Source organism: Homo sapiens, chromosome 7 (genome assembly GCF_000001405.40).
Source record: "Homo sapiens chromosome 7, GRCh38.p14 Primary Assembly".
In the NCBI taxonomy this organism is placed as follows: Eukaryota; Metazoa; Chordata; class Mammalia; order Primates; family Hominidae; genus Homo; species Homo sapiens.
This window is the reverse complement of record NC_000007.14, coordinates 24,237,198-24,262,539: the sequence shown is the minus strand read 5'-3', so window position 1 is coordinate 24,262,539 and position 25,342 is coordinate 24,237,198. Positions and strand designations below refer to the sequence as shown.

The 25,342-nt window shown below is 39.4% G+C and overlaps 1 long non-coding RNA gene and 1 other non-coding gene across 15 annotated transcripts in view; both read left to right on the top strand.

Moving 5' to 3' along the window:
• The window catches only part of LOC107986777 (uncharacterized), a 303,857-nt gene that overhangs the window by 182,599 nt on the left and 95,916 nt on the right, over positions 1 to 25,342 (top strand). For 3 of the 14 annotated variants that reach the window (XR_007060254.1, XR_007060255.1, XR_001745127.2), the window contains one exon: positions 6,841 to 6,979. The exons of the other annotated variants lie outside the window; for them this stretch is intronic. This is a non-coding gene — a long non-coding RNA (uncharacterized LOC107986777). The remainder of the gene's footprint in view (positions 1 to 6,840; positions 6,980 to 25,342) is intronic. 14 annotated transcript variants of the gene reach the window in all.
• LOC124901831 (small nucleolar RNA U13) lies at positions 826 to 931 on the top strand. The gene has a single exon (XR_007060667.1). It is a non-coding gene; the product is annotated as a small nucleolar RNA U13 (small nucleolar RNA).

Genomic DNA, 25,342 nt, shown 5'->3' with positions numbered 1-25,342 from the left:
GGATGGCTGTTAGGCAACCAACAGGGTCACTTCCCAGGGTGTAGTTTGTGTGGGTTTCGTTTTGTGTTTCAAACTTAATATTTTTTCCTTTTTTTTTTTTAGTGAAAAAGCAGCATGCTCAATAGAAACAAAGTAACCAGTACAAAAGTCTTACAGTAAAAAAAAAAAAAAAGACTCTCTACCCATCCTTATGCCATAACTTACACAAAAATTATGAAATATCATTAAGAGAAAAATTTAAAATTCTAAGCAAATGAAAGGGAAAATTTTAAGATTCTAAACAAAGGAAGGGAAATAACATATTTATGGATTGAAAGGACTGACATTGAAAAGATTCTACCCAAATTGATTATAGATTCAATACAATCCCAGTTAAGACCCAGCAAAGTTTTTCTAAGAAGTCAACAATTCGTTTCTCACATTTGTGTGAAAATGCAAAGGGCATAATATCCAAGATAACCTTAAGAAGAAAAAAACTGGAGACTCTACATACAGGACATTGTGGCTTATTATAAAGTTCCAGTCATTAAGACAGTGCAGAGTTGATACTAGGAAATATAAAAACATATCCATTCATATCTAATGACTCAATTATGACTTAGTTTCTGTATAGAGGGGGGAAGAATGGTCTTTTAAAATAAATGGTACTGATTCAATTGGATATCTATATAGAAGGTGTAGGTAGTATTTTTCTCCATTTGCTTAGAACTTCTAAATTTTATTTTAACCATATTTTATATTTTTTGTATATACTTTTTTCCAGATTAATAAAATTCTTTTCTATTTCTAATTTGCTAAGACATTTTATCACAAATAGATTTTGAGATCCTTTTGTAGTTTGTAAGTGTGATGATTGGGTTTTTTCACGCTCATGTGTGAGATATGCCTTCCTTAAAGTTTGTTACATCATCAGCACATTACCCATCTGACAAGAAAAAAAATAGATTTTGACTCTCATCAAATACTTTTTTGCATCTACTGACATAATCATGTGGTTTTTCTATTTCACCTTGTTAATGTGTCTGATTACGTTGATTCGTTCTCAAATTTTAACACTCTCGCATTCCTGGACTAAAAGTCACTTAGTCACGATGTAGTAACCATTTTATATATCACAGGATTTAATTTACTGTTTTTACAAAAATTCTTATATATATTTCATGAGAGAGCTTGGCAAGTAATTTCCTTTTGAGTAATGTTCTTTTCAGAATTTAATATCAAAGTTTTGCTGGCATCATAAAATATGTTGGGAAGTGTTTCTTCTTTTTCTTTTATCTTGAAGAATTTTAGGAAGAATCCACTAGTGAAGTCATCTGGGCTGAGGAAATTTTTTGTGGAAAAGTGTTAATTTATACGTTCAATTACTTTACTAGATATAGAACTATTTAAGTTTCGTATTTCTGTTTGTCAATTTTGGTAAGGTCTATTTTTATAGGAATTTTCTCATTTTCCCTACATTTCCAAATTTATTGGCATAAAGTAGTTCCTCATATCTGTTTTTTTTTTTTTTTTTGAGATGGGGTCTGGCTCTGTTGCCCAGGCTGGAGTGCAATGGTGTGATTTTAGCTCACTGTAACCTCCACCTGCTAGGCTCAAGCGATCCTCCCACTTCAGCCTCCTGAGTAGCTAGGACCACAGATACACACCACTACATCCAGCTAAGTTTTTTTTTTTTTTTTTCTTAGTAGAGACAAGGTTTCACCATGTTGCCTAGGCTGGTCTCAAACTCCTGAGCTCAAGCAATCCTCCTGACTCAGCCTCCCGAACTGCTGGGATTACAGGTGTAAGCCACTGCACCCAGCCTCACTCTTATTTTTTAATATCTCTGTTGTCTGTAGTGATGTACACCTTTTCATTCTGACATTGATAATTTGTGACTTGTCTCTGTTTTTATCTGTCCTTGTAGCTGTCCATTAATCTTACTAATCTTTTCAAAGGATAAACTTTTAGCTTTTTATTTTTCCCTATTTCATGCTCATTTTCTATTTATTAATTTCTTCTCATTTTTTAAATTGACTTTCATCTACTTTGGGTTTAATTTGCTGTTGTTCTAACTTCTTGATTATACTTAGCCAATTGCCATTTCAACATTTCTTTTTTCTAAAATATGCATTTATTGCATAAATCACCCCCAAATGCAAATTTAGCTACATCTCATGAGTTTTAATATATTGAATTTTCATTATTATTCAAGCGAAAATATTTTCTAGTTTTTATTGGAATTTCTCATTTAACCCATGCACTGCCATTATTATTGTACAATTTCCAAATAGTATTTTTTAAGTTTAATTGTACTATGGTCATAAAACATACTGTGTATGATTTCAATCCTTTGAGATTTTCTGAAATTTGCTTTATGGCCCAACATAATATCAGTGTTAGTAAATGGTCTGCGTGCACTTAGGAAGAATGCATATTCAATTGTTAATTGTGTTGTTCAAATCTACATACATATTTCCTTTTTTTCCACCTACCTATTCTATTAGTTATTCAGAGAACTGTGTTATCACCTTGCATTTTGGTAATAGATTTGTTTTTTGGTAATAGATTTGATTTTGGTAATAGATTTATTTCCTTTTTTTGGTTTCTGTCAATTTTCACTTTATATATTTTAAAGCCATAATATCAAGTGCATGTATTTTTAAGTTATTGTATCTTGTTGGTGGATTGGCCGTTTTATATATAAGAAACACCCCTCTTACTCTCTAGTGATGCTTCTTGCCTTAGATTCTACTTTGTATATTGATGTAATTATACTAGCTTTGGGGGGGCTAATGTTTGCATGGTGTATTAAGCCAGTGTCCCTGAGAAGCAGACTTTGAGTACAGAAGGTGAGAAGTAAACCTAGGAACACTGGTAAGGTTGCCTGAGTAGACACGGAAGGGAAGGAAGCTGACAATGGATGCACTAGTGAGCTGTTGGCTGTTTACAGCTAGGGCTCACTTCCCCTCTTGGAAGTCTCCTCTTGGCTCCTCAGTGGCTTTGCTGGGAGACTGCATGGGAACACCTTGGAATTTCTCCACCTGAAGGTGAGCAAGCTGGAGTATTTACTGCCAGCTCACATCCTCACTAGACAAGGGTTGCTCCTGAGGGCATCAGCTCCTCAGAATTTCTACTCTGTCCCATTTCCCACCAGCTTAAATTCACCACCAGCCTGCTTCCAGGGTTAAAGAATGCCCTCAGGCAAGACCTAGTGCTACATGCCACTGAAAGACATCTGGAAAGTCATGACGAATGCCAAGAGATGAAGCAGGGCACTCACAGTGTCTTCTACTCATGGAATCTATTTCCCTGTTCTTTCACTTTCAACCTTTTTTGTGTCCTTATGTTAAAAATGTGTCTCTCATAAGCAGCCTACAACTATTTCACCCCCACCCAGAGTGACCATCTTTGTCTTTAAATTTAGCCAGTTAGTTCATTTACATTTAATGTAATTACTAACGAATTTGGTTTTATAATTATCATGTTCCATTTGTTTTTTATTTGTCATCATGTTTTATGTTCATTTTAAAAAATTTCTTGCCTTTGGATAATTCAATTTTAAAATTATGTTATTCTCTTCTTCCGCTGTTACTATATTATTTTCCTATTGTTTTGGTTTTTACTCTAGAGATTCTATACTAAATACAGTCAAATACAAATTATACTTTTACCATCTCCTTCTGGATAACACATGGACCTCAGAACTGAGATCTGGAGCATTTACTAGGTCAGCAAATGGACATCTTTGGTGGGTCCTGGACTCCATTTTTTTTTATTTTCTAAGGACTGTGAGTCAGTCTTCCAAAAACCCTCTGCTCTGCTTCTCAGTGGCTTTCCACTTAGCTTCTTCATCTCTTGCCCTCTGCAGCAAAAAATTTTCCAATTCATTCAGAGAGAAACCAGTTGTTTTTGGGCTATTTCCCTACATCTCCTCTTTCACCATGATCTTAACCACTGAAATCCTTGGCAACCCTCAACTCCAATTTATTTTATTATTTTTTATTGTTTATTTTATTTATTTATTTATTTATTTATTTATTTATTTATTTATTTATTTATTTTTGAGACAAGGTCTTGCTCTGTCACCCAGGCTGGAGTGCAGTGGTGGGATCTCAGCTCACTGCAACTTCTGCCTCCCAGGTTCAAGTAATTCTTGTGCCTCAGCCTCCTAAGTAGCTGGGCTACTCAGCCACCATGCGTGGGCACCATGTCTGGCTAATTTTTGTATTTTTAGTAGAGATGGAGTTTCACCATGTTGACCAGGCTGGACTCAAACTTCTGACCTCAGATGATCTGTCCACCACGGCCTTCCAAAGTGCTGGGATTACAGGTGTGAGCCATTGCACAGGGCCCCCAACTCCAACTTTTGTCTCCTCAGTTCTCTGAGAGCCCCCAAAGTTCTGCAGGTTTCTCTGTTCCTTAACAGCTACCCTCCACCTTGACTTGCACTCTCTTGCCAGCACCAAGAATCAGCAAGTGCCCCAGAAGGGAAAGCAACTTCCAGGATATCTGCCTACTTGGGCTGTCCCCTTTCCCTTGCTTGCCTTAGCAGCTATTCAAATGCCTTCAACAATGTTTTATGTGTATTGTCCAGCTTTTCTGGTTGTTTTGACGGGAGGGACAGTCTGTTAGAAGCTACTCTATCATAGCCAGGAGTGAAAATTCTTCTCAAATATATTTACTCTGTCATTTTTTTGATGGACATTTAATTTTTTCCCTAGTCTCCACCTGTTACAAAAATTGTAGCAAGAAGTAAGTTTGGACATCTGTCTTTGCTGATGTGTGCATGTGGCTGTTGAATTCCTGGAAAAGTAGTTTCTTGGTCAAAGAAAGCATGCATTTGAATGTTGATAGTTCTTACCAAATTTTCCTCCCAAGAGATGTATCAATAATGTGTGAGAGAGTGTGTTTCCCCAAAGAGGGTGTGTGCTTTTATAGAAGAGGTACAGGAGTTTCTTCAGAGGTACCTGAAGATAGGAAGATGAATGTGTCTGCTTAAATTCTTGGTCCCCCCATCTGGCCTCAGGACAAGATGGAAGGGATCCCCTTTCCAAAGTGAAAAATCCATGTCTGTGTTCAAAATATCTTTGCTCCATAATAGGACTAGAACCCAAGGGAAGTAAAAACTAACTGAGCCACAAGGAAGAGCAAGTTAATAAATGGACCCATAATGAGGATGGAGAATTCCTACTGTTTCTATTAAACTATAGGGGTTATGGGAAGCCTCTTTTTATAGACCTGTAAAATGCTGATGAGCTCACCAGAAGTTCTTTTCCAAATACCCATGGCTCTAATTGTTTCAGTGTTAGTTCAAGAAAGTTATTTTCATTTTGAAACAACTTCAAAGTTCAAATTTTGAAATACAAAATTTCCCCTTACATGTCTAATGGTTTTGTACTATTGGGAAGTAATGACTTAGGTTTTTATAAATGTATTTGGGCATCTTAAGGATGGGTCAATTTGTTAGCTTTCCGGGAATGTCAAAGCATAATATTGATAACTCCTTATTTTATTACCCTTATTCTTATTTGATAAATTAAGGTAGTACCTGATTTTGCATTTGGAAGCATTTATTTCATTGTTCAAAGACTCTTTTTCTTTTTCTTTTTTTTTTTTTTTTAGATGGAGTCTCGTTTTTGTCACCCAGGCTGGAGTGCAGTGGCATAATCTTGGCTCACTGCAACCTCCACCTCCTGGGTTCAAGCTATTCTCCCTCAGCCTCCTGAGTAGCTGGGATTCCAGGCGCCCACCACCATGCCTGGCTAATTTTTGTACTTTTAGTAAGACGGGGTTTTGCGATGTTGGCCAGGCTGGTCTTGAACTCCTGACCTCAGGGGATCCACCTGCCTCAGCCTCCCAAAGTGCTGGGATTACAGGCATGAGCCACCGCGCGTGGCCCAAATACTCTTTTTCAATTCAAATTCTTTTTTTTTTTTTCTCCCTCTCTCATTAGGTCCTGGGGGAGATAATTTAAAACCACCTACATGAGAGGGCCTTCAGGAATAATTAAATCAAGCACACACTGTGTGCACCTTTGGCTATTTTAACCAAATCTTGAGAGCATCCTCTCTGACTGGGAAACACACTGCAGCCTACTCATGAGAATATTATTGTTTAAATTTCAATGCTACAGCAATACTATCTGGTAAGATAATTGTCTCCAGTGGGATGAAATAAGGCCAAGAAACCAAAGCTCTCCAGCCTCTTCTAAGTTTGCTTCTGATGCCTGCCTCTCATCCTCGCTTCTTCCAGCAGACCCCAAGCTGCCTCCAGCCTCCACTGTGCCAATATTCTTAGAGCAGTCTGGTTTGCTGGCATGTTTTTGCCTCAGTATTCCATTTCTCACACCCTCTGATGGCCATTTTATTTTATTTTTAAGAGGGGAACTAAGATAGGTGGCCTGAAGTACAGTAGTAACTTCCTTGAATCACGCTGTCCTGGCTAATGTCAATGAGATAACTAAGGCACATCCACAGATCACATTCTGGGCCTTTAAAAGCACTGCATACAAACTCAGTATTTCGTTTAGACAGTTTTCTTATCTTCTTCAACTGGACCTCTTTGCTGACTCATGTCAGCTTTGAGCTCATATTAGTCTGTGAACTTTACCTGGCTGAAATTCAGTTTGGCCTGACTTTGCCATTCTTGATTCCACTTTTGATTCAGACTAAAATATAAGGTAAGGCTATGTTCAATACAAGAACCTTACAATCTGATGAACATGGACTTACTCAAGGAAGAGATTTATCTGCCTCATGTGAGAAGAAGTCTGGGTTGAAGTAGATTAGGGCTGGAACAGTAGTTCAAGGATGCTATCTGGGAACTGAGCATTTTTTCTTCCTGCTCTACTGCCCTGAGGATGACTGATGTACCTCCAGCATCAAGCTCAAATTCTAGTCAAGAAGAAAGAAGCAGCAGAAGAAGCCCAGCCAACTTGGGATTGTTTCATTCATCAGATCTACCATTGTCTCTGCTAGCTGCAAAAAAGTCTGGGAAGGTAAGTTTTATCTTTCTAGTGCCTATAACAGAAGAAAGCATGGAATGGGATGTGAGTGGATTTTAAATGATCCCGTTTTCAGTGTCTACCTAGTAGGTTTGGGTTCTTTTGGCATCTTGTCCTACTCATTCCAGGTTTCATCTTCAAGATTCATCATTGAGAAACCACGCCAACCACTTCCCCTTCCGCTGCAAAGACAGGGCAATGAAAGCTGAGATATAAATATTCTGTCGTTTACTTAGAATATTTTTCTTTAATGTTGGGAGAGCACAATGGCCGGATGTCAGAAAATCTGCATTTTAGTCTTAGATTATTTATCTAAAACTGTCTTGTTTTGAGCAAATCATTTCAAGTCTCTGAGTCATCGTTTTCATAAAATGGAAGAGTTGGGCCAGAATCTTCTGTCCTTCCCTCTTGCCTAGGATCTCAAATGTCTATTATTATAACAGTCCCTTGTTACCACAGGGACTCAAAGAGGCCAGGCCCAGAGAAGAGGCCCCACCCTGCTGCCCATCATGCTCATCTTCCCCTATCTTCCAGTTGTCTCTTAGAACCTCTCAGAAGTTGGACAGAGATAACTAAGGGGACTAATATGAATTTAAAACTATATTTTTCATTGTCCTTATTGACTTTTGGCTTTAAAATATGAACTATTTTCAACTTTGTTGGTAGAACCACAGTTCCCCCTTCAGGTAGTGGTGGCTTCTCTGGAATCACAGGAGTGACCTAGAGATCAAGCCATTGAAATGGTGTCATCTACCATTCATTCACTGCTTGGCCTAATATGGCCCAGGGAGCTGCCTTAGAACCAGTCTCCCATCTTGTTGATATAGCAAGTTTTCTTCAGGCCTGTGCCTATAACCTTAGCACCTACTGAGTCTGTGAAATACTTCCAAAACTTGCTTAACTGTCTAGAATCCTGAAATATTGCTGAAGATGGAAGGAAGTATCTGAATATGCAAATGTATGCAGCTACTGTAAATCCTCTAAATAACTTAGAACACATTTGGGGGCTAGGATTTGTGATTAATTTTCAGATATTTTCTACAACTATTGTCATTAGTTTATTCTCTCAACTTCTTTTCAACTCAGGCATCTTTTGCTTGGCAACTGGTTTACCTTATCATGGATATAAAGTAGTTAGATATGTACATTGTGTTTAGTGCAATTTTAGTCAAAGGTTTGGACTCTCTCTTCATGTCATGATTATCCTAGAAAATGTTCGAACTCTCTCTTCTAGTGGGTTCTCCATGGGAGAAGGGGGAAGGGGTGCAAGGGAGATTGTTGGGGGATTGACCAGAGAGTATGTCTCCAAACTGTATGTTCAGTGGGCAACAAGCTGACCATGGATGCTGCAGCCAGGGAGCGGGGTGTCCTCCACAGCCATGTCTCTGGGGCAAGGCTGGAGCTGAGTCAGCTCTCTGGGTCTCTTGGAATCACCTTGAATGTTCTTCCAATCTCCTCAAAATGGGGTAGTTCTATCTCTTCCTCCTGGGAACATTATTCTTCACCTAGAATCTTCTGGGGCATAAAGGGAGAAGTTGGGATGAGGTAGACCAGATGTCTCTGAAACTATACATCTGAGAATTTTAGTCTCATGCTGCCTTTATTTCTGCTTCAGATGGAGAAAGGATGAGATCCTAGCAGGGGTTCTTAAGGAGTCTGTGGATAGAATTCGGGATGTCTATAAACTTGAATTGTAAAAATACATCTTTATTTTCACTATTCTTTAACTAAAATTTAATATTTAATCATGAAAGTGGGCAACAACCACAGCAGTGTTAGCAATACCTGTGATTTTGATACCAATAGGAATCATAGTAAGTTTATGTCATGTTAAAGTTATTGCAGAAACAAGAAAATAGCATTATATCCACAACAACTTTAAAAATGTGGTGATTAGTGGCCCCCACCACTAGATTTTATTTAAAGCATTAATGAAAGAGTATATATTTTATAATGGCACATTTGAAATATTTTGATAATATTAAAAGCATTTTAATATTACTGTCTTTCTTTGATTTTTGTTATGCATTTTAAAATTTTTTGAGGAGGGATTTTAGCAGATTACCAAAGGGGGTCATGGCACAAAAAGTTTTCAGGACACCCACCATAGGGATGCAAATTTATAGAATACACAAAGGACAGAGATGGAGGGAAAACATACTTTAAAATGTAAACAGATTATCCTGCTAACCACAGTATGACAGAACTAAATATAAGCCCATCTGCAAAAGTTATTTCAATCTAATGTATATTTCTCCTAACTTGATTAGCGTCTGGGTACAAATGGGGCAATGTTAATGGTGAAAGCCACATTTCCCTTGTATCTACCACCTACTCCAGTATCTCCTACTTTTACTCAAATCTCAATTTTTGTGGGAATTTCTGAAAGTGTTTTTGTTTCTTCCTTTCTTGCTCTCTTTGTGGTTTGATGGTTTTCTGTAGTGGTATGCTTTAAATCCTTTCTATTTTTGTTTCGTACTTCTAAAGATTTTTGCAGGCCAGGCACTGTGGCTCCTGCCTGTAATTCCAGCACTTTGGGATAACAAGGCAGGTGGATCACCTGAGGTCAGGAGTTCAAGACCAGCTTGGCCAACATGGCGAAACCCCATCTCTACTAAAAATACAAACATTAGTCAGGCATTATGGTGGTCACCTGTAATCCCAGCTACTCAGGAGGCTAAGACAGGAGGATGGCTTGAACCCAGGAAGTGGAGGTTGCAGTGAGCCAAGATCATGCCTCTGCACTCCAGCCTGGGTGACAGAGCAAGACTCTGTCTAAAAAATAAAAATAAAAATAAAAATACTAAGATTTTTGCTTTGTGATTACCATGAAGCTTACATAGATCACCTTATACTTAGCCTATTTCAAGCTGATGACAGCTTAAGTTTGATTGCATACAACAACTCTATACTTTTACTCCTCCATCTCACATTTTGTTTTTGATGTCAGCTTACTATCAACTTAACAATAACATAGTCACTTAACACATATTTAATATGTTATGTGTATTATATACTGTATTCTTACAAAAAAGTAAGGTAGAGAAAAGAAAATGTCATTAAGAAAATCATAAAGAGGAAAAAATGTATTTACTATTTATTAAGTGGAAGTGGATCACCATAAAGGTCTTCATCCTTTTTGTCTTCCTGTTGAGTAGTATGAAGAGTAGGAGGAAGAGAGAAGGTGGGTCTTGCTGTCTCAGGAGTGGCAGAGGTGGAAGTGAAAAGTGGAGCAGGAGAGGCAGGCAAACTGGGTAACTTTTACTGAAAAAATTCTTGTATAAGTGGACCTGCTCAGTTTAAACCCATGCTATTCAAGGGTGAATTGTATTATTTCTCTTGTGGCCTGCAGAATTTCTGCTGAGAAATCTGCTGATGATCATATTGGCACTACTTTTTATGTGGTGTATTTCTTATCTCTTGATGCTCTTAGAATTTTTCTTTGTCTTTGAATCATGATAGTTTGATTATTATTAATATGTGTTTTGGTGAACTCCTCTTTTGGTTGAATTTGACTGTAGACTTCTAAGCTTCCTGAACCTAAATGTTGGCATCTATCCCTAAATAAGGAAAGTTTTCAACAATTATTTCTTTAAATATGCTTCCTGGCCCTTTTCCTCTTTCTTCTCCTTTTGGAACTACATTATGCAAAGGTTTGGTCTCTTGATGGTGTCCCATAATTCCCACAAGATTTATTTTTTTTTTCATTCTTTCGTCTTACTGCTCCTCTGACTGGATAATGTCAAATGTTTTGTCTTCCAGTTCACTAATTCTTTTTTCTGCTTGATCAAGTCTGCTTGTGAAGCTTTCTATCAAATTTTTCAGTTCAGTCATTATATTCTTTATCTCTAGATTTCTATTTATTTTTTATTGTTTCTATTTCTTTGTTACACTTCTCACTTTGTTTATGTATTGTTTTCCAAATTGTATTTAATTTTCTATCCATACGTTTTTGTAGTTCACTGAACAACTTTAAGAGGATTATTCTGAATTCCTTGTCAGTTAATTCATAGATCTCCATTTCTTTAGGGTCTATTAGTGGAATGTTATTAGTTTATTTTGGAGGTGTCACAATTCCCTGGCTCCTCATGATCTTGTGTACCTGCATTTTTGCATTTAAGAAGACAGTCCCCTGTTCTGGCCTTTGCAGATGTTCCTAAAGAACATCTAGAGATAGACCTTCACTATTCAGTCTGTGGTTTTTGAAGGACCAACTAGTGATGACCCTAAGCAGGTAGAGCTTGTCGTAGGAGTTGGCTGCCTTTGCTCTGATGTGGAATGGAGCTTTTGGATGGGCTCTACTATCTGGCAAAACCACTGGGTGGGCTCTGCTATGAGGTGGAGCTATTGGGTGGGTGATGGCAATGGCTTCTAATCAGGTCACAAGATGTAGTCCCTACTGGGTAATTCAACTATTTGGGATTTCTAGTTGGGCAGGGATGCTGACTGGGCTCTGAGGTTAGGTGGAGTCACTGGTTGAGATGAGCAGGACCAGAGTCTATGCTCCTTAGAAATGCACAATTGAGGATTGCCTCCCTGTCAGGGTGGAACCAAGGAGTGGGCTTTCGGCTGAGTGGAACTGCTGCTTGTCTTCCCATGTCAAGCAAGTCTAACCCCTATGCTTTGTCCAAAATAGGCAAAGGCCAGCATCTCCCTACTTGGTATAGGTTGGTAGTGGGCTCTGAGGTTGGCATGGAGACTAGCTATCTAGGGACTCAAGTTAGGTTGAACTCCCACCATGCTTCTGAAGGCAACCAGCTCAGCTTTGCAGGTGGGCTCTGAAGTTGGCTGATATTTCTAATAGGGTGCTACAGCTGGCAGAACATAGAAGTACCACCAAGATCTGCATGCTGGTCACTACAATCTCTGCCTCCTTTCTTTGTTTCTATGTGACCCAAGGTGGTCTAACCATGCCATTATCCCCAGTTTTCCCTGTGAGGTGAGGCGAGATTGGAGTGGGCTTCCTGGAATGCTAGGAAAGCTGGATAACTGTCTCTGAGTATCTTTTCTCCCAGTAGAAACTGTGGGCCCATGGAAATCCTCTCTGTTTAGCACTGGGCTGAACTGAGGGAGAGGTAGCACAGCTGTAATGAGGCTGTTCTCCTTACCCTTCTAATTTAATTCCATTCAGTTCTGTGGACCACATTGGTGTCTCAGGCTTGTTCCTTGCATTGGGGTTTTCAAAAAGTTGTTCTGGTCTTTGGATAGTTGCTAGTTGAATTTTCTGTGGGGAAAAGTGGAGGCTACAACTTCCTATTCCACCATCTTGCAGACGTCATCCCTGAAGATATCTTAAATGAGCTCATGATCTTCCTCTTTTAGCCACTCTTAAAATATCTATGCCCCAAGGTGCATTCTTTGAGAATCAAAGTTTATTTTCTGTAGTTCCTAAGTTACAAAGCCCCATTTGGCCAGAAAAATGCCACATACCCTAAAACTCTCCACCTTATTTCAGTGAAGTAAGGAACTTACTCCCCTTCTCACTCTTCACCAAAGCCCCAGAAGCTTTGGCTTCTTTGGCTAAAAGAGTCAATGTTGGGTTTGGGGCTTATTGAAAGGGGAAAGTGGAGTCACATGAGGGGAAAGAAGATGGCAGTGGGTTATTTCTCTTTTGAAAAGAAAAGTCACTTTAGCTCCTTCGGATAGTCCCTCTATTCTTTTTCTTCCTTTCTTTTTTTTTTTTTTTTTTTTTTTTTTGAGACGGAGTCTCGCTCTGTTGCCCAGGCTGGAGTGCAGTGGCGTGATCTCAGCTCACTGCAAGCTCCACCTCCTGGGTTCACGCCATTCTCTTGCCTCAGCCTCCAGAGTAGCTGGGACTACAGGCGCCCACCACCACGCCCAGCTAATTTTTTATATTTTTAGTAGAGACGAGATTTCACCATGTTAGCCAGGATGGTCTCGATCTTCTGACCTCGTGATCCACCCGCCTTGGTCTCCCAAAGTGCTGGGATTACAGGCATAAGCCACCGCGCCCGACCTAGCCCCTCTATTCTTAAAGGTTCAAATCTGAGTCCCTGGGATGAGCTCAGGAAATCACAAAGTATACATCATGCTATTCCCTTTACGATCTCCCTCTTTCCAAAACCCACTTCCTCTTTTTGAGCCCTCAATGTCAAATTATCTCATTTAACTTGATTCTTGGTAAGCCTGCCCTCCTGATTTATCCAAACCACTTAGACCTAAACTATGAACCCCAATATGTTGAACACATTTCTCCTTTGCCTCTCCAGACCAAGTTCTACACTTCTCTACTCTGCTCTGTGACAAGAGAGGCTGAAATTTATGGAAGGCATCAACAGGCACCCTTGTCCTCTGCCTCCCAGTTGGGTTCAGCCAATGGGAGGTACTATGGGGAGATACACAGTGAGAGGAAAGAGAAGTCAGGGCCTTTTCTTTTTCTTTCTTTCTTTCTTTTTTTTTTTTTGAGACAGAGTTTCACTCTGGTTGCCCAGGCTGGAGTGCAATGGCTTGATCTTGGCTCACCGCAACCTCCACCTCCCGGGTTCAAGCGATTCTCCTGCCTCAGCCTCCCGAGTAGCTGGGATTATAGGCATATGGCACCACACCTGGCTAATTTTGTATTTTTAGTAGAAATGGAGTTTCTCCATGTTGGTCAGGCTGGTCTTGAACTCCTGACCTCAGGTGATCCGCCCACCTTGGCCTCCCAAAGTGCTAGGATTACAGGCATGAGCCACCATACCCGGCCTAAGTCAGGGTCTTTAATTCCTCTAGCTTGCTCCCTGCCAGGTCACCATGAGCTTAGAAACATCATTGCTGAAGACACAGCATCTGCTAGGTGGCTGTCTCTTAGATCTATGGGTGCTGTCTCTTAGATCTATGGGTACTTTCTCTGGCTTCTGGTAATCCCTCCTTTCTCTTACCCCTTCAGCCTAGAGGACACAAGCTCTCACTGTTGCTGGCCTGGAGTATTGAAACAGCCCTTCTTTCACATACCTCTGCATGCACCTATGTAAACAGTTCCTTTATTGAGCTCTCCTCAGTTCCCCATTTGAGTGTGCTAGGTGTTGCTGAGATCCTGAATGATTTACCTGGCTGTATCACTCAGTCTCAAATTATAAATTCTCCGTTTTGTCCCTGTTGATTAGGAGAGAAGCAAAACCAAAGCATACTGTCCCACCAGTTCTGTGTATTCCTCTGTCCCCCTGTCCAGCTATCTCTGAGCATGTACTGTGGATCCCCATGCAGAGGCTGACTCTTTGCTGTGAAACCCAATGACAAATATGCAGGGCTTTCTTTATCATTGTCTCCCACTCTGTGTTGATTTTTCACCATAGAAAGAACAGAGCAAGGCCTCTAGCAACAACTCAACTGCTGGGATCACAAAGAGGAAAGTAGAAAGAAGCAAAAATATAAACTATACTATTACCAAAAAAGGCAACATTAGGACAGGAGGCAACCTGCTCAGTATTATGGGGACAACTTTACTGGAACCTAAGACTTTGGAGAAGAGATCTTTTCTGCTTGAGCATTAAAATATGTGTACCTGAGTCAATCCCAGCAAATGGTCATGCTGCTCAGATAATCTCTTCTCTGGTAGCCACATTGCTTGAATCATTTATCTTCCAGGAATCTAATTGCAAAAGTGATCATTCTCATTCTCATTTATTATTGATATTCCCACAGTGGGAAAGACATTGTGATTGGTGCTTCCGTAGGAGTAGGGCCATTTAGGAAAAAACGGTAATGTTTAACGCACAGTAGGAAGAAAGAGGTATCCAGAATAAACATTTTCTTAAAGCAGTAATCCAGCTGGTGGTATAATACCTGTTGCAGATATTTCTCTGCCTGTTTACAGTACCACCATCCACACATTGATTAGCATTGTGGGCAATACATAAAGGAATAATAACAATTACTTGAGGCCCACTGCGAATTAAGCATTGTACTTGAATTCATCTAATTCTAACAATAGCACTATGAGGTAGACATTATTACTCCCTATTTTACTGAAAAGGAAACAGAGACTCTAGAAGTTGTCCAAATTCACATAGTAAGGGATAGGGCAAGAGGTCAATCTGAGAGCCTTAAGCAGAAGTGACCGATTGGACCTTCTGGTTATAATTTGTGAAAATAGGACTATGTATACACACCCATATATACATACACAGAGTGGTGTACTCAATATAAAATTAATAAGTCAATACAAGGTCCAAATGGATAGTGAGGAAAATATATGTAAGACTACTGAGAGAGACAGAGTGTGTGTGTGTTCTTGTTTCCGAGGCAGTCACCAGGAATGGGAGATTTAAACTGGGCTTTGAATAGTAAAGAAGTTTGGGATGGGTGGGGCGAATAGTGTGGGTCAAATCACAAGAGCGGAAAAGTACCAGTTTTGAGCAAGTATAGAAATTTGGTTGGGGCAAGGGTTCATACCGGAAGTAATGAGAAATTAAGCCGGAAAAGGAGACCAGCTGTGAGGGAAATGGCTATCAGTCTGCAGTGATTAGACTTTATACTGCTAGAAAGGAGATGTGAAATGATTAAGCAATGTTTCAGAAAGATTGACCAGTCACACGACAGAGTATGTGAAAGGAAACAGATTAGATTTATGGAGCCCAGGAAGAGGGTGACAGCAGTCATCCAGGTGTGGAGTGAAAGAGGATTCCGGTGGTGGCCAGGCCACAAAAAGATGAAATGGATGAAGAGACATTTAGAAGGAAAAATCAAGAAGATATGGCAACTGCTCATAATATTTAAAAAAATAATAGCTAATTCATTCATTCATTTCCACAAATATTACTTAAGTGCCTTCTTTGTGTCAGGCACAGTTATGGGCTCTGGGTGTACTGCAAAGAACCTAACAGGCAAGACCATTTCCCTCATGGAATTTATATTACAATGGAGGAGGCACATGATAAACAAACATGTGAAATATAACTTCAGGTGGATAATTTGTGCAATGAAAATACATGAAACAGGATTAAGGGGCAAGATAGCAAGACACCCTCTGGGTGTCTCTGAGGATGCAATATTTGAGTGGAAATCCAAATGAAGTGGGTGAGTAAACCATGTGAATATCTCTGAGAAAAGTATTCCAGGCAGAGAAGTCAGGAAGTGCAAAGACCCTGAGGCAGCTACATTCAGCCTGTGATCAGAACAGCATACCACTGCAACCAGTGCAGAGTAAGGTGGAAGTGAAAGTGAGGTTGAGGAGGCAACAGGGGTGGAATGCTGATGGGCTTTAATGGCTATGGAGAGGACATTGCATTCTATTCCAAATGAGATAGAAATGGAAGGGTTTTGAAAAGGGGCATGGCATGATCTGATTTACAATTTTAAAGGCTCACTCTGGCCACTTCGTGGACACCTGATGATGGTGGAATGAGCATAGATGCAGAGACCACTTAGAAGTTTATTACAATAATCCAGGTGAAAGTTGCTAGTGGCTCAGATTAGTGAAAGAGAAGGCAGTAAGAAGCATGGGATTTGGGATGTGTTTTGAAGGTAGAATGAGCAGAGCTTTCTGATGGACTGTACACAGCACATGGAATAAAGAACCAGAGAAACCAAGAAGGCAATTCTGTGAGACTTTATGCTCTCAGATTCTTAAAATCTACCTTGGAGTGGAGTTAATCTTGGTTATTTGATTCTTTGCTTTTTCTATATTCCATTCATCCATCAGTAAGTATACTAGACTCTACCTCAAAACACATCCTGGATCTGTTCAGTTGTCATCACCTTCCTCACAAGCACACTGCTCCATACACCATTGCAATGCCCCTTAGCTAGCCTCCCTGCTTCTCCTCTTGCCCCTCCCCTGATAAACAATTCCCCACATCTGCCCAATTTGATTGGCCTCTGCTAAAACCCTGTTAGTGAATTATTGGAATAAGTATTTAGAATAAAACCCAAAAATTTCAGCCTCAGATTACAAAATCTTACATAATTTGTGCCTGATGGCTTTGCTGACTTCATCTCATTCCTCTCCTCCCCTTGCCCTTTCACTGTGGTCACTTTCAGTTTCTTAAGCATACCAAGCCTTTGCTCTCCACAGTCCTCATATCTTCAAAGCCCAATTCTTCATATTACTCAGCTCTCATCTTTAATATTACATCCTTGGACAACCTTCTGAAACACCCAAGTCTTGTTTGACTTGGGAAAAGTCTCATTCCCTTCTTCTTGAATTTGAGCTGGCCTTAGTGCCTTGCTTGACCAATAGGATGCAGTGGAAGTGACATTCTGAGATTTCTGAAGCTAGGTTCCTTGCAACTTCTGCTTGAGCTTCTTGGAACACTCCTACTGGGAGTCCTGAGCTGCCATCTAAGAAGTCTGACTACCCTGACAGTGCTGTGCTGGAGAGACTGTGGGTGGGCACTCCAGTCAACAACCCCAGCCATCCACCCAGGCACCAGACACCCAGACAAGGCCAGCCATCAGCCAAATACCACCCAGATTAACACCACGTGGAATGGAAGAATTGCCTGGCTGAGCCCTCCCCAAATTCCTCATGCACAGAATTGTGAGAGAATAAAATGATTGTTGTTTTAATCCATTAAGTTTTGGGAGTTTGTTATATAGCAATAGATAAATAGAACACTGTCTATCACAATATTTTCCTTATTTGCCTAAGATTGATCATTATTTGATATTTTTCTTGTTCATCCAGTTACTTTATGAGTCAGCTATCTATATAACCTGATCTATCTATCTATCTATTATCTATCTATCTATCATCTATTTACCTCCACTAGAGCTATCTACCATCTATTTACCTCCATCTATTTACCTACACTATCATCTATCTATCTATCTATCTATCTATCTATCTATCTATCATCTATCTATCTATCTATCTATCTATCATCTATTTACCTCCACTAGAATATCGGCTTCATGAGAGCAGAAGCCTTTCCTGTGTTTTTACTGTTCTACCTTTAACACCTAAATCAGCGCTTGTACACAGTTAGGAGCTCCATAAGCCCTGTCAAACAAAAGATTTTCTGCCTTTCTGAATATCCTAAGGGCAATGAGTACAACACACACACACAGAAATGCAGAGAAGAAAACCTGGGTAATCTCAAAATATAATCCTCCAGGTTCGCAGATTAAACAATATAAGGATAGTACTATATTATTAAATCAATCAATAATTTATTAACTAGCAAATTAAACAGAAAAAATCCGACATGATTAGACACCAAAAAGACAATTAATTAATTTCAGAAGCCATTCTTGGTTTTTAAAAAAACAGTAAAAGAAGAAGAAAACTATAGTACTTAAAATTGATGAAGATTATTTACCAAAAAGATGCAGTAAACATCATATTGAGGCAGTGCACTGCTTAGTGTACAGATAATGTAGAGAAAATGTCTGCTGTCCGCTATTAGTGGGTCTAGCATTTCTCATCCAAAGTGTCAACAATCTGATCCTGCATTATAAAGTTGTGTTTTTCCAGTTGTGACCAGTATGTAATTTGTTACATGATATTCTGGCAACATGTAAATATCCAATTCTCCATTCATCTTTCCCCTATTTGCTTTAGCATCCTCAGATGATCTTAGCCTGAGTCTTCTTTTTAAATGGGTTGCAAAATGGCAATTTTCTAATTTTATCATTTTCCCACATTTATTGGCTGCCATTCTTCTCTATGAAGAACTATCCCTTATCAACTGGGGCTACTCGGTTATCCTAATGTAGACTTTTTCTGGAAAAGCAGGATAAATACTAATTCTTTCTGCTTAATAACCAATTTTGAAATGAAATAGGTTTAATAACCACCTCCAGTGGTGACCCATGAAGCTTCTTTTTTCTTTCTTGCATTTGTTGTTTTTTTTTTTTTTCAATGTGGCTTTCTCTGTTTGGCTCCATCTATCTACCTACCTATCATTACCTATATAGGAAAAGCAGGTCTCTGAGCTGATCTGACACTGCCAGGTAAGTCTCAATGTTCTTACTGACTGATCTAACACAGGTAAGTCATGTTGCTATCCTGTTGGACATGAACAATCTCACAGAACATCCACTGCAGACAGTCATGGTGCAGCCCACAAAATACCAACCTTCGCCTCTCTTGGCTAATATGAGTGACTGCTCCTTACCAATTATGGCTTTATCCTCAATCTAATCTGCCCTGCCTGTAGATAAGATTTATTGAGATATTCAATCATAGAATTGCTTCTGCTTTCTGACAACACCCAATTTAGAACAAACCTTACTTGGCCACCCCCCCACCCCCCGCAAAACTATCCAGCCAAAGCCCAAATGCCCAGGTTCTTTCTAACACCTTCTTACTGAGATGTTTCCTTCTCCCCTCCTCCAATCTCCGCGCCATCAGCCCCTGTTCCCTGTGATATGCATTCTCCTTTGCTGCAATAAGTGAGAGAAAGTCATCTAACTTGTTCAAGTACAGCTGTTTCTGGTGGTCTTTTGCTGAAAAGAATTAAGAATTTTATATTATGATATATGGTATACTTACCTTCACATATATGATACAAATGAAGATCTGTGTGTGTGTATGCTCAAATCCATTATAATAATAACTATTATTATTGGTGCTTAAATTCTCCCAAGTTTATCTGTGGGAGACCCCCTTCGAACTTGCTTATGTGACTCCGTGGCCCAGCACCATTAGTCTCTGAAAGCATCCTTGGGTTTTGGCATGCAAAGATGTCCCAGGCTCATCTTAGGCATTCCTTCCCCCAGACCTGGACAAAATTTAAAAGAGCCAATGATTTCAGACGTGGAAAGTCAAAATACTTCATAGCTTGTTGGCTGAGTTGAATTTTTGTAGTTCAATGTTTTGGGAAAATAATTTAAAGGTATTTTTAAATATTTAAAAGTATTCATACTTATTGACTCAGCAATTCCATTTTGGGGGACATCTAACAGGAAGAAATACAAATGGGAAAATGGAAAATACAGTAATGTGTCCATAAGGATGCTAACTGCAACACTGATTATGTTGACGAAAGAGTAGAAACTAAATATCCACCAAAGGCAAATGAGGGACTAAGTTATAGAATATCCAGGGTGTCGAATATTATGCGCTCTTTTATAAGAATGAATTAGAACTATAGCTGGAAAATAGCTGTGAAATACTGATAAACATGATATATAGCATGGTCTAATTTGGAGGATAAATCCTATACTTATATTTTATTTAATCATGAAGGAAGAATTTTAACACCCTGTTAACTAAAAGGAGTAGAAATGAATGCAAGCCATATTTGATTTTAGTGTAAAGTGTATTTTTTTAAATTAAATCATAAGGAAGGGCTGGGCACAGTGGCTCACCCCTGTAATCCAGCACTTTGGGAGGCCGAGGAGAGTGGATCACGAGGTCAGGAGATCAAGACCATCCTGGCTAACATGGTGAAAACCCGTCTCTACTAAAAATACAAAAAATTAGCCAGGTGTGGTGGCATGTGCCTGTAGTCCCAGCTACTCGGGAGGCTGAGGCAGGAGAATTGCTTGAACCTGGGAGGCGGAGGTTGCAGTGAGCCGAGACCGCGCCACTGCACTCCAGCCTGGGCAACACAGCGAGACTCTGTCTCAAAGGAAAAAAAAAAAGGAAAAATAAGTAAGCAACAACCCAACTAAAAAATGGAATTTGATTTAAACAGTTTTTAATTCATAGGCAATCCATAAGACAAAAGATAGACATTTTAGGGAGAGAGTTAGCCAGTGCTTGTACATGACAGTTTCTTCACAAGTGCCTAGATTTCTCCCAGGAGAATGCCATCCAAGCCCCCCTTGTAAAGTACCCTGTCTGCCATATTGAGTCCCAGGTCCTATATATTAAGAACAGAAGTGGCGATTTGGATGCAGCTCCTTATACTTCTTTGTCCACTGTTACAAAGAGAAAAACACTCAACTACTTAATTGATGGGGAGAGAAAGTTCACCTTGAAGCATCATAGACTGCCCTGTAACTAAAGTGTGCACTTGGCATATACATACATATGGAAATTTTATGAGACTGGGGACAAAACAACTCTGGGAAAAGTACCTGAAGTCATTATATTTTGGTGATTTAAAAATAAATTAACAGAGCTTTTCAAAGATAGGGGCACTAAAGCCAAATGGAAAATAAAGCTGAAATGAGAAAAAGGTTCATCCCTACCACCGCAGAAGGACTTTCTGCCGAAGTAATTTCCGTTTTCCGGGTGAGTGGGTTTGCATTCTAGCTACACTAATGCAATAGTTCTATGTATGAGTAATTTTAGAGCTCCACTCAGCAATTCCAACTCCACTGATAAAGCCTTCTTGTGGCCAAAATAGTATGTTTACCCTTATCAAAAATGCATTTCCATATGAGAGTAAATTGTGACAAACATAATAAAACATTGCGACTAACAATGCCATAAACAAACCCTGATTCTGCTCATGACGATGAGAGCTTTCAGTAATCACACAGTACATGGTTTAAGTATAATTTTCTGATGGCACAATAGCCCCAAGCAATTTTTTTGTTTGTTGTTTTTAAGGCATGAGATATTATTTAGAAAGTACCCATTGTCTGCAAGTCTAATGTTATAGGAACAGGAAGCCTAACAATTCTTCTCTTTCTTTGAACACATTTCTCATTTATCTTACTGGGGTTTCAAAAGAGCCCAGAAGAGGCGACCCTCCCCTGTGTAATCACATGACTCGGTTTTAAGGTCTGCTGCTTTGGGCACCAATTTGTCACTAGCTCCTGCTTAAATGCCCTGAATAATTTAGATACCTGCGGGTGATGGGAGAGACGGTGAATACTGAATCTTCTTCCCAAGCAAAAATACCCAAGTTTTAAGTTTTAGCTGAGAGCAGAAGTATAATTTCTTCTTTTAGTGACTATGGGGTTGGTTGTGCTATTTGCCTTCCCTTATGTTAACCTAAATTTTGACTCTTTGAGAGCATCCTCAAGTCAAATGAGTTTTATCTTCTAGCAAAAAAGAAAAAAAAAAAAAGAGGTTATTTCTCTTTCTTTAATATTTAGGGAGGGCAGACTGCTCTCCCTTCTCTTGTTACCCATTTTTTCTCTAGGAAGGGTTGATGATATCAGTGGTCTATGTACTCCAGTTCCCTTCTCTGCTTAATGTAAACCTCCCTCTCCTGCTTCCATTCATTGGATGGAAACCTCTATGTCTTGGCATATACCCGGTCATCACTTCACACTACACTTTCTATTGAACCTACCAAATGAGACTTACCATTCTAGGTTAAAAAAAAAAACTTCTTTTCCATTTAAAATGATTTTTAATACAACCACACTTCACATGAAAAACCTCACAGACTAGCACAATGTCAAGCATTTAGTAGATAATTAATATTTGTTAAATGAAATATTCTTAATCATGAATTTGTCTCATACGTTCAAAGCTTGGGGTGATGTTGCCAGCTGTGAATAAAGATGTGATAGTGTGATACAGATTTACAGGGAGTCGAAGGAACATGTCAATGCTACCATCAGTGGGCAACTTATCAGCACCTGAATCACTTTCCTATGGGATAGAGATCTATTCTATGCAGAAATTGGTCCTTACAGTTTCCAACTAAAGGCAATAGAAAGAAATGTGCATTTAATATCTCCCGCAGGGCACGGTGGCTCACGCCCGTAATCCCAGCACTTTGGGAGGCCGAGACGGGTGGATCAAGAGGTCAGGAGATCGAGACCATCCTGACTAACATGGTGAAAACCCGTCTCTACTAAAAATACAAAAAATTAGCCGGGCGTGGTAGCGGGCGCCTGTAGTCCCAGCTACTCGGGAGGCTGAAGCAGGAGAATGGCGTGAACCCAGGACGCGGAGCTTGCAATGAGCCGAGATCGCGCCACTGCACTCCAGCCTGGGCGACAGAGCGAAACTCCATCTCAAAAAAAAAAAAAAAAAAAAAAAAAAAAAAAAAAAAAAAAAAAAAGATAATATCTCCCAATAGATTTTAGGATCGATTCTATCACAAGAACTTATCTGAGTATCCAGAAAATAATCAGGCAATAACTGTTCACCTCTAGGAGTGGCTAAAAATATATTCTGTTCATATAGAAAAGATCAGTAATTTCATTTGTTTCATTGTGAGAATAGTTCTACAGATCATGACTGGCTGATAAAGTATTTTTACTGATTAAATCTTGTAATTAGTTACATATGTGCTTGCAAATAGTAACAGGAACAGCAAATAACATTATTTGCATTTACACATATGCTTGCAAATAATCACAGGATCAGCAAGTAACATTATTTGTACTTACCTATATGCTTGCAGATAATCACAGGATCAGCAAGTAACATTATTTGTAAAGGTCCAAGCATGTTACATAATTCAGTGTGAATATCATATTTGACACAATATGAACAAGATAAGTTAGAACAAAATCCAGATGTTTTCTTTTAACTAAAAAAGAAAACTGCTGCAGTATTCAAGTTCAAATTTTCTTTTCTTTTCTTTTCTTTTTTTTTTCTGAGATGGAGTCTCGCTCTGTAGCCCAGGCTGGAGTGCAGTGACGCGATCTCGGCTCACTGCAACCTCCGCCTCCCGGGTTCACGCCATTCTCCTGCCTCACCCTTCCGATTAGCTGGGACTACAGGCGCCCGCCACCGCGCCCGGGTAATTTTTTTTTTTTTTTGTATTTTTAGTAGAGAGGGGGTTTCACCGTGTTAGCCAGGATGGTCTCGATCTCCTGACCTCATGATCCGCCCGCCTGGGCCTCCCAAAGTGCCGGGATTACAGGCGTGAGCCACCGCGCCGGGCCTCAAGTTCAAATTTTCAAAATGCTCCAGGAGTTGCACAAACTCTCGGAGTCTTGATTCCTAAATCATAAAAAGAAACTCATGAACTTCCACTGAGCATAGGTTGAACTTTCCTCGTAATATCCTTCCCAATTTAGTCAGACCTTCCTGCACTTCCCAGATGTGCCAAATAGTAGGATTATATGGATTGCCCTTCCCATCTATCTGTCCTTAAAACATGGAGATTTCTGCTTCCTTTATTTTTTAGTTTTTATTTGAGATAATTTGTCACTGAAAATTGCAAAAATATTGCGAAGAATGCTGCAATCCTTTGTAATAGTTTAACAATTTTCAATGATTCTTGAAATTGATTCATCAACACAGATTCTCTGAGTGTTGACAATTTTCAAATTTGCTTTTGTTTCCCCCTCTCTCTCTCTATACATATAATTGTATTTATATGCACATATATGTATATTATATATACATACATTTTTAATAAACATTTGAAACTAAGTTACAGACATGCTTTCCCTTTACTTGTAAATACTTCAAAGTATATTTTTCTAAAGACAAGAACATTCTTTTATACAATCACAGTATAAATTATCAGCATCAGGAAATTATCATTGATTCTACATTATTCTTTCACATACAATACTTACTTAAATTTAGCCATTTTTTCCCCACTAATGTCGCTTATAGAAAAAGGGGGAAAAATCCAGTTCAAGATCAGACATTGCTTTGATGTCATGTCTCTTTAGACTGCTTTAATCCTTCATGAACTGAATGTTTTTGATGTGCACCGGTCAGTTCTTTTGTGGAATGTCTCTTAATTTGAGTGTGTCTGGTGTTTCCTTGTGGTTAGATTTAGACTGTGCATTTTTGGTAGGAAAGCCACGGTAACAATATTGTGTTCTCAGTGCATCCAAGCAGGAGGTACATGAAGTGTCTTTGCCCCATTACTGATGTTAACTTTAATCACCTCTTGCTGGGTGAGGTGTCAGAGCCCTGGCATCAGAAAGTGGTCCACTTGCAGGTTGGTAAGAAGAATTTACAGACAACAGTATAGGTTTGAAAAAGAAAAGTTTTATTAGAAAGGAAAGGAAGAACGCTGCAGAAGAGTGCAGTGAGGCCCTTCAGCGAGACAAGGACTGAGCGTGCCTGTCTCAGGGGTATTTTCCTTAGGGGTATTTATGAACCCTAAACGGGGGCTTAAGGGTAATTTGGACCATGTTAGCCACACAGGTCATAATAATGATGATCATAATAAATCATAATAAATGATGACATTTGTAGACATTGGTGCCTAAGTCAGCAAGGAATGCACGAGGAGTTTCTATATGCTTGCATTCCAGAGATGTATAGAAATTCTAGTTACTTATAAATTTTTGGGAAAGAAACCTGGAACCAGATGCTTGCTTTAGATAATAGGGAAGTCCAGTTACTTCTGATAAAGATTTTTGCCTCTGGATGTTCTGCTGGATGGCCACCAGGTGATCTTTGCTCTCCTCATTTTCCCCCTGACAAATATCTTGGTTGAATCTTTTCCGCTTTATATTCCTCCATCCTCATGTCTACCTGCTGCCTATTGCGGTCTCAAGAAAGGGAAAATGGCACAGTGAAGAGGAGCATTGGGTCTGTCTGGCTACTTCCTGCTGAAAGGGGCCATAGAGGGGATGAGTTGCATT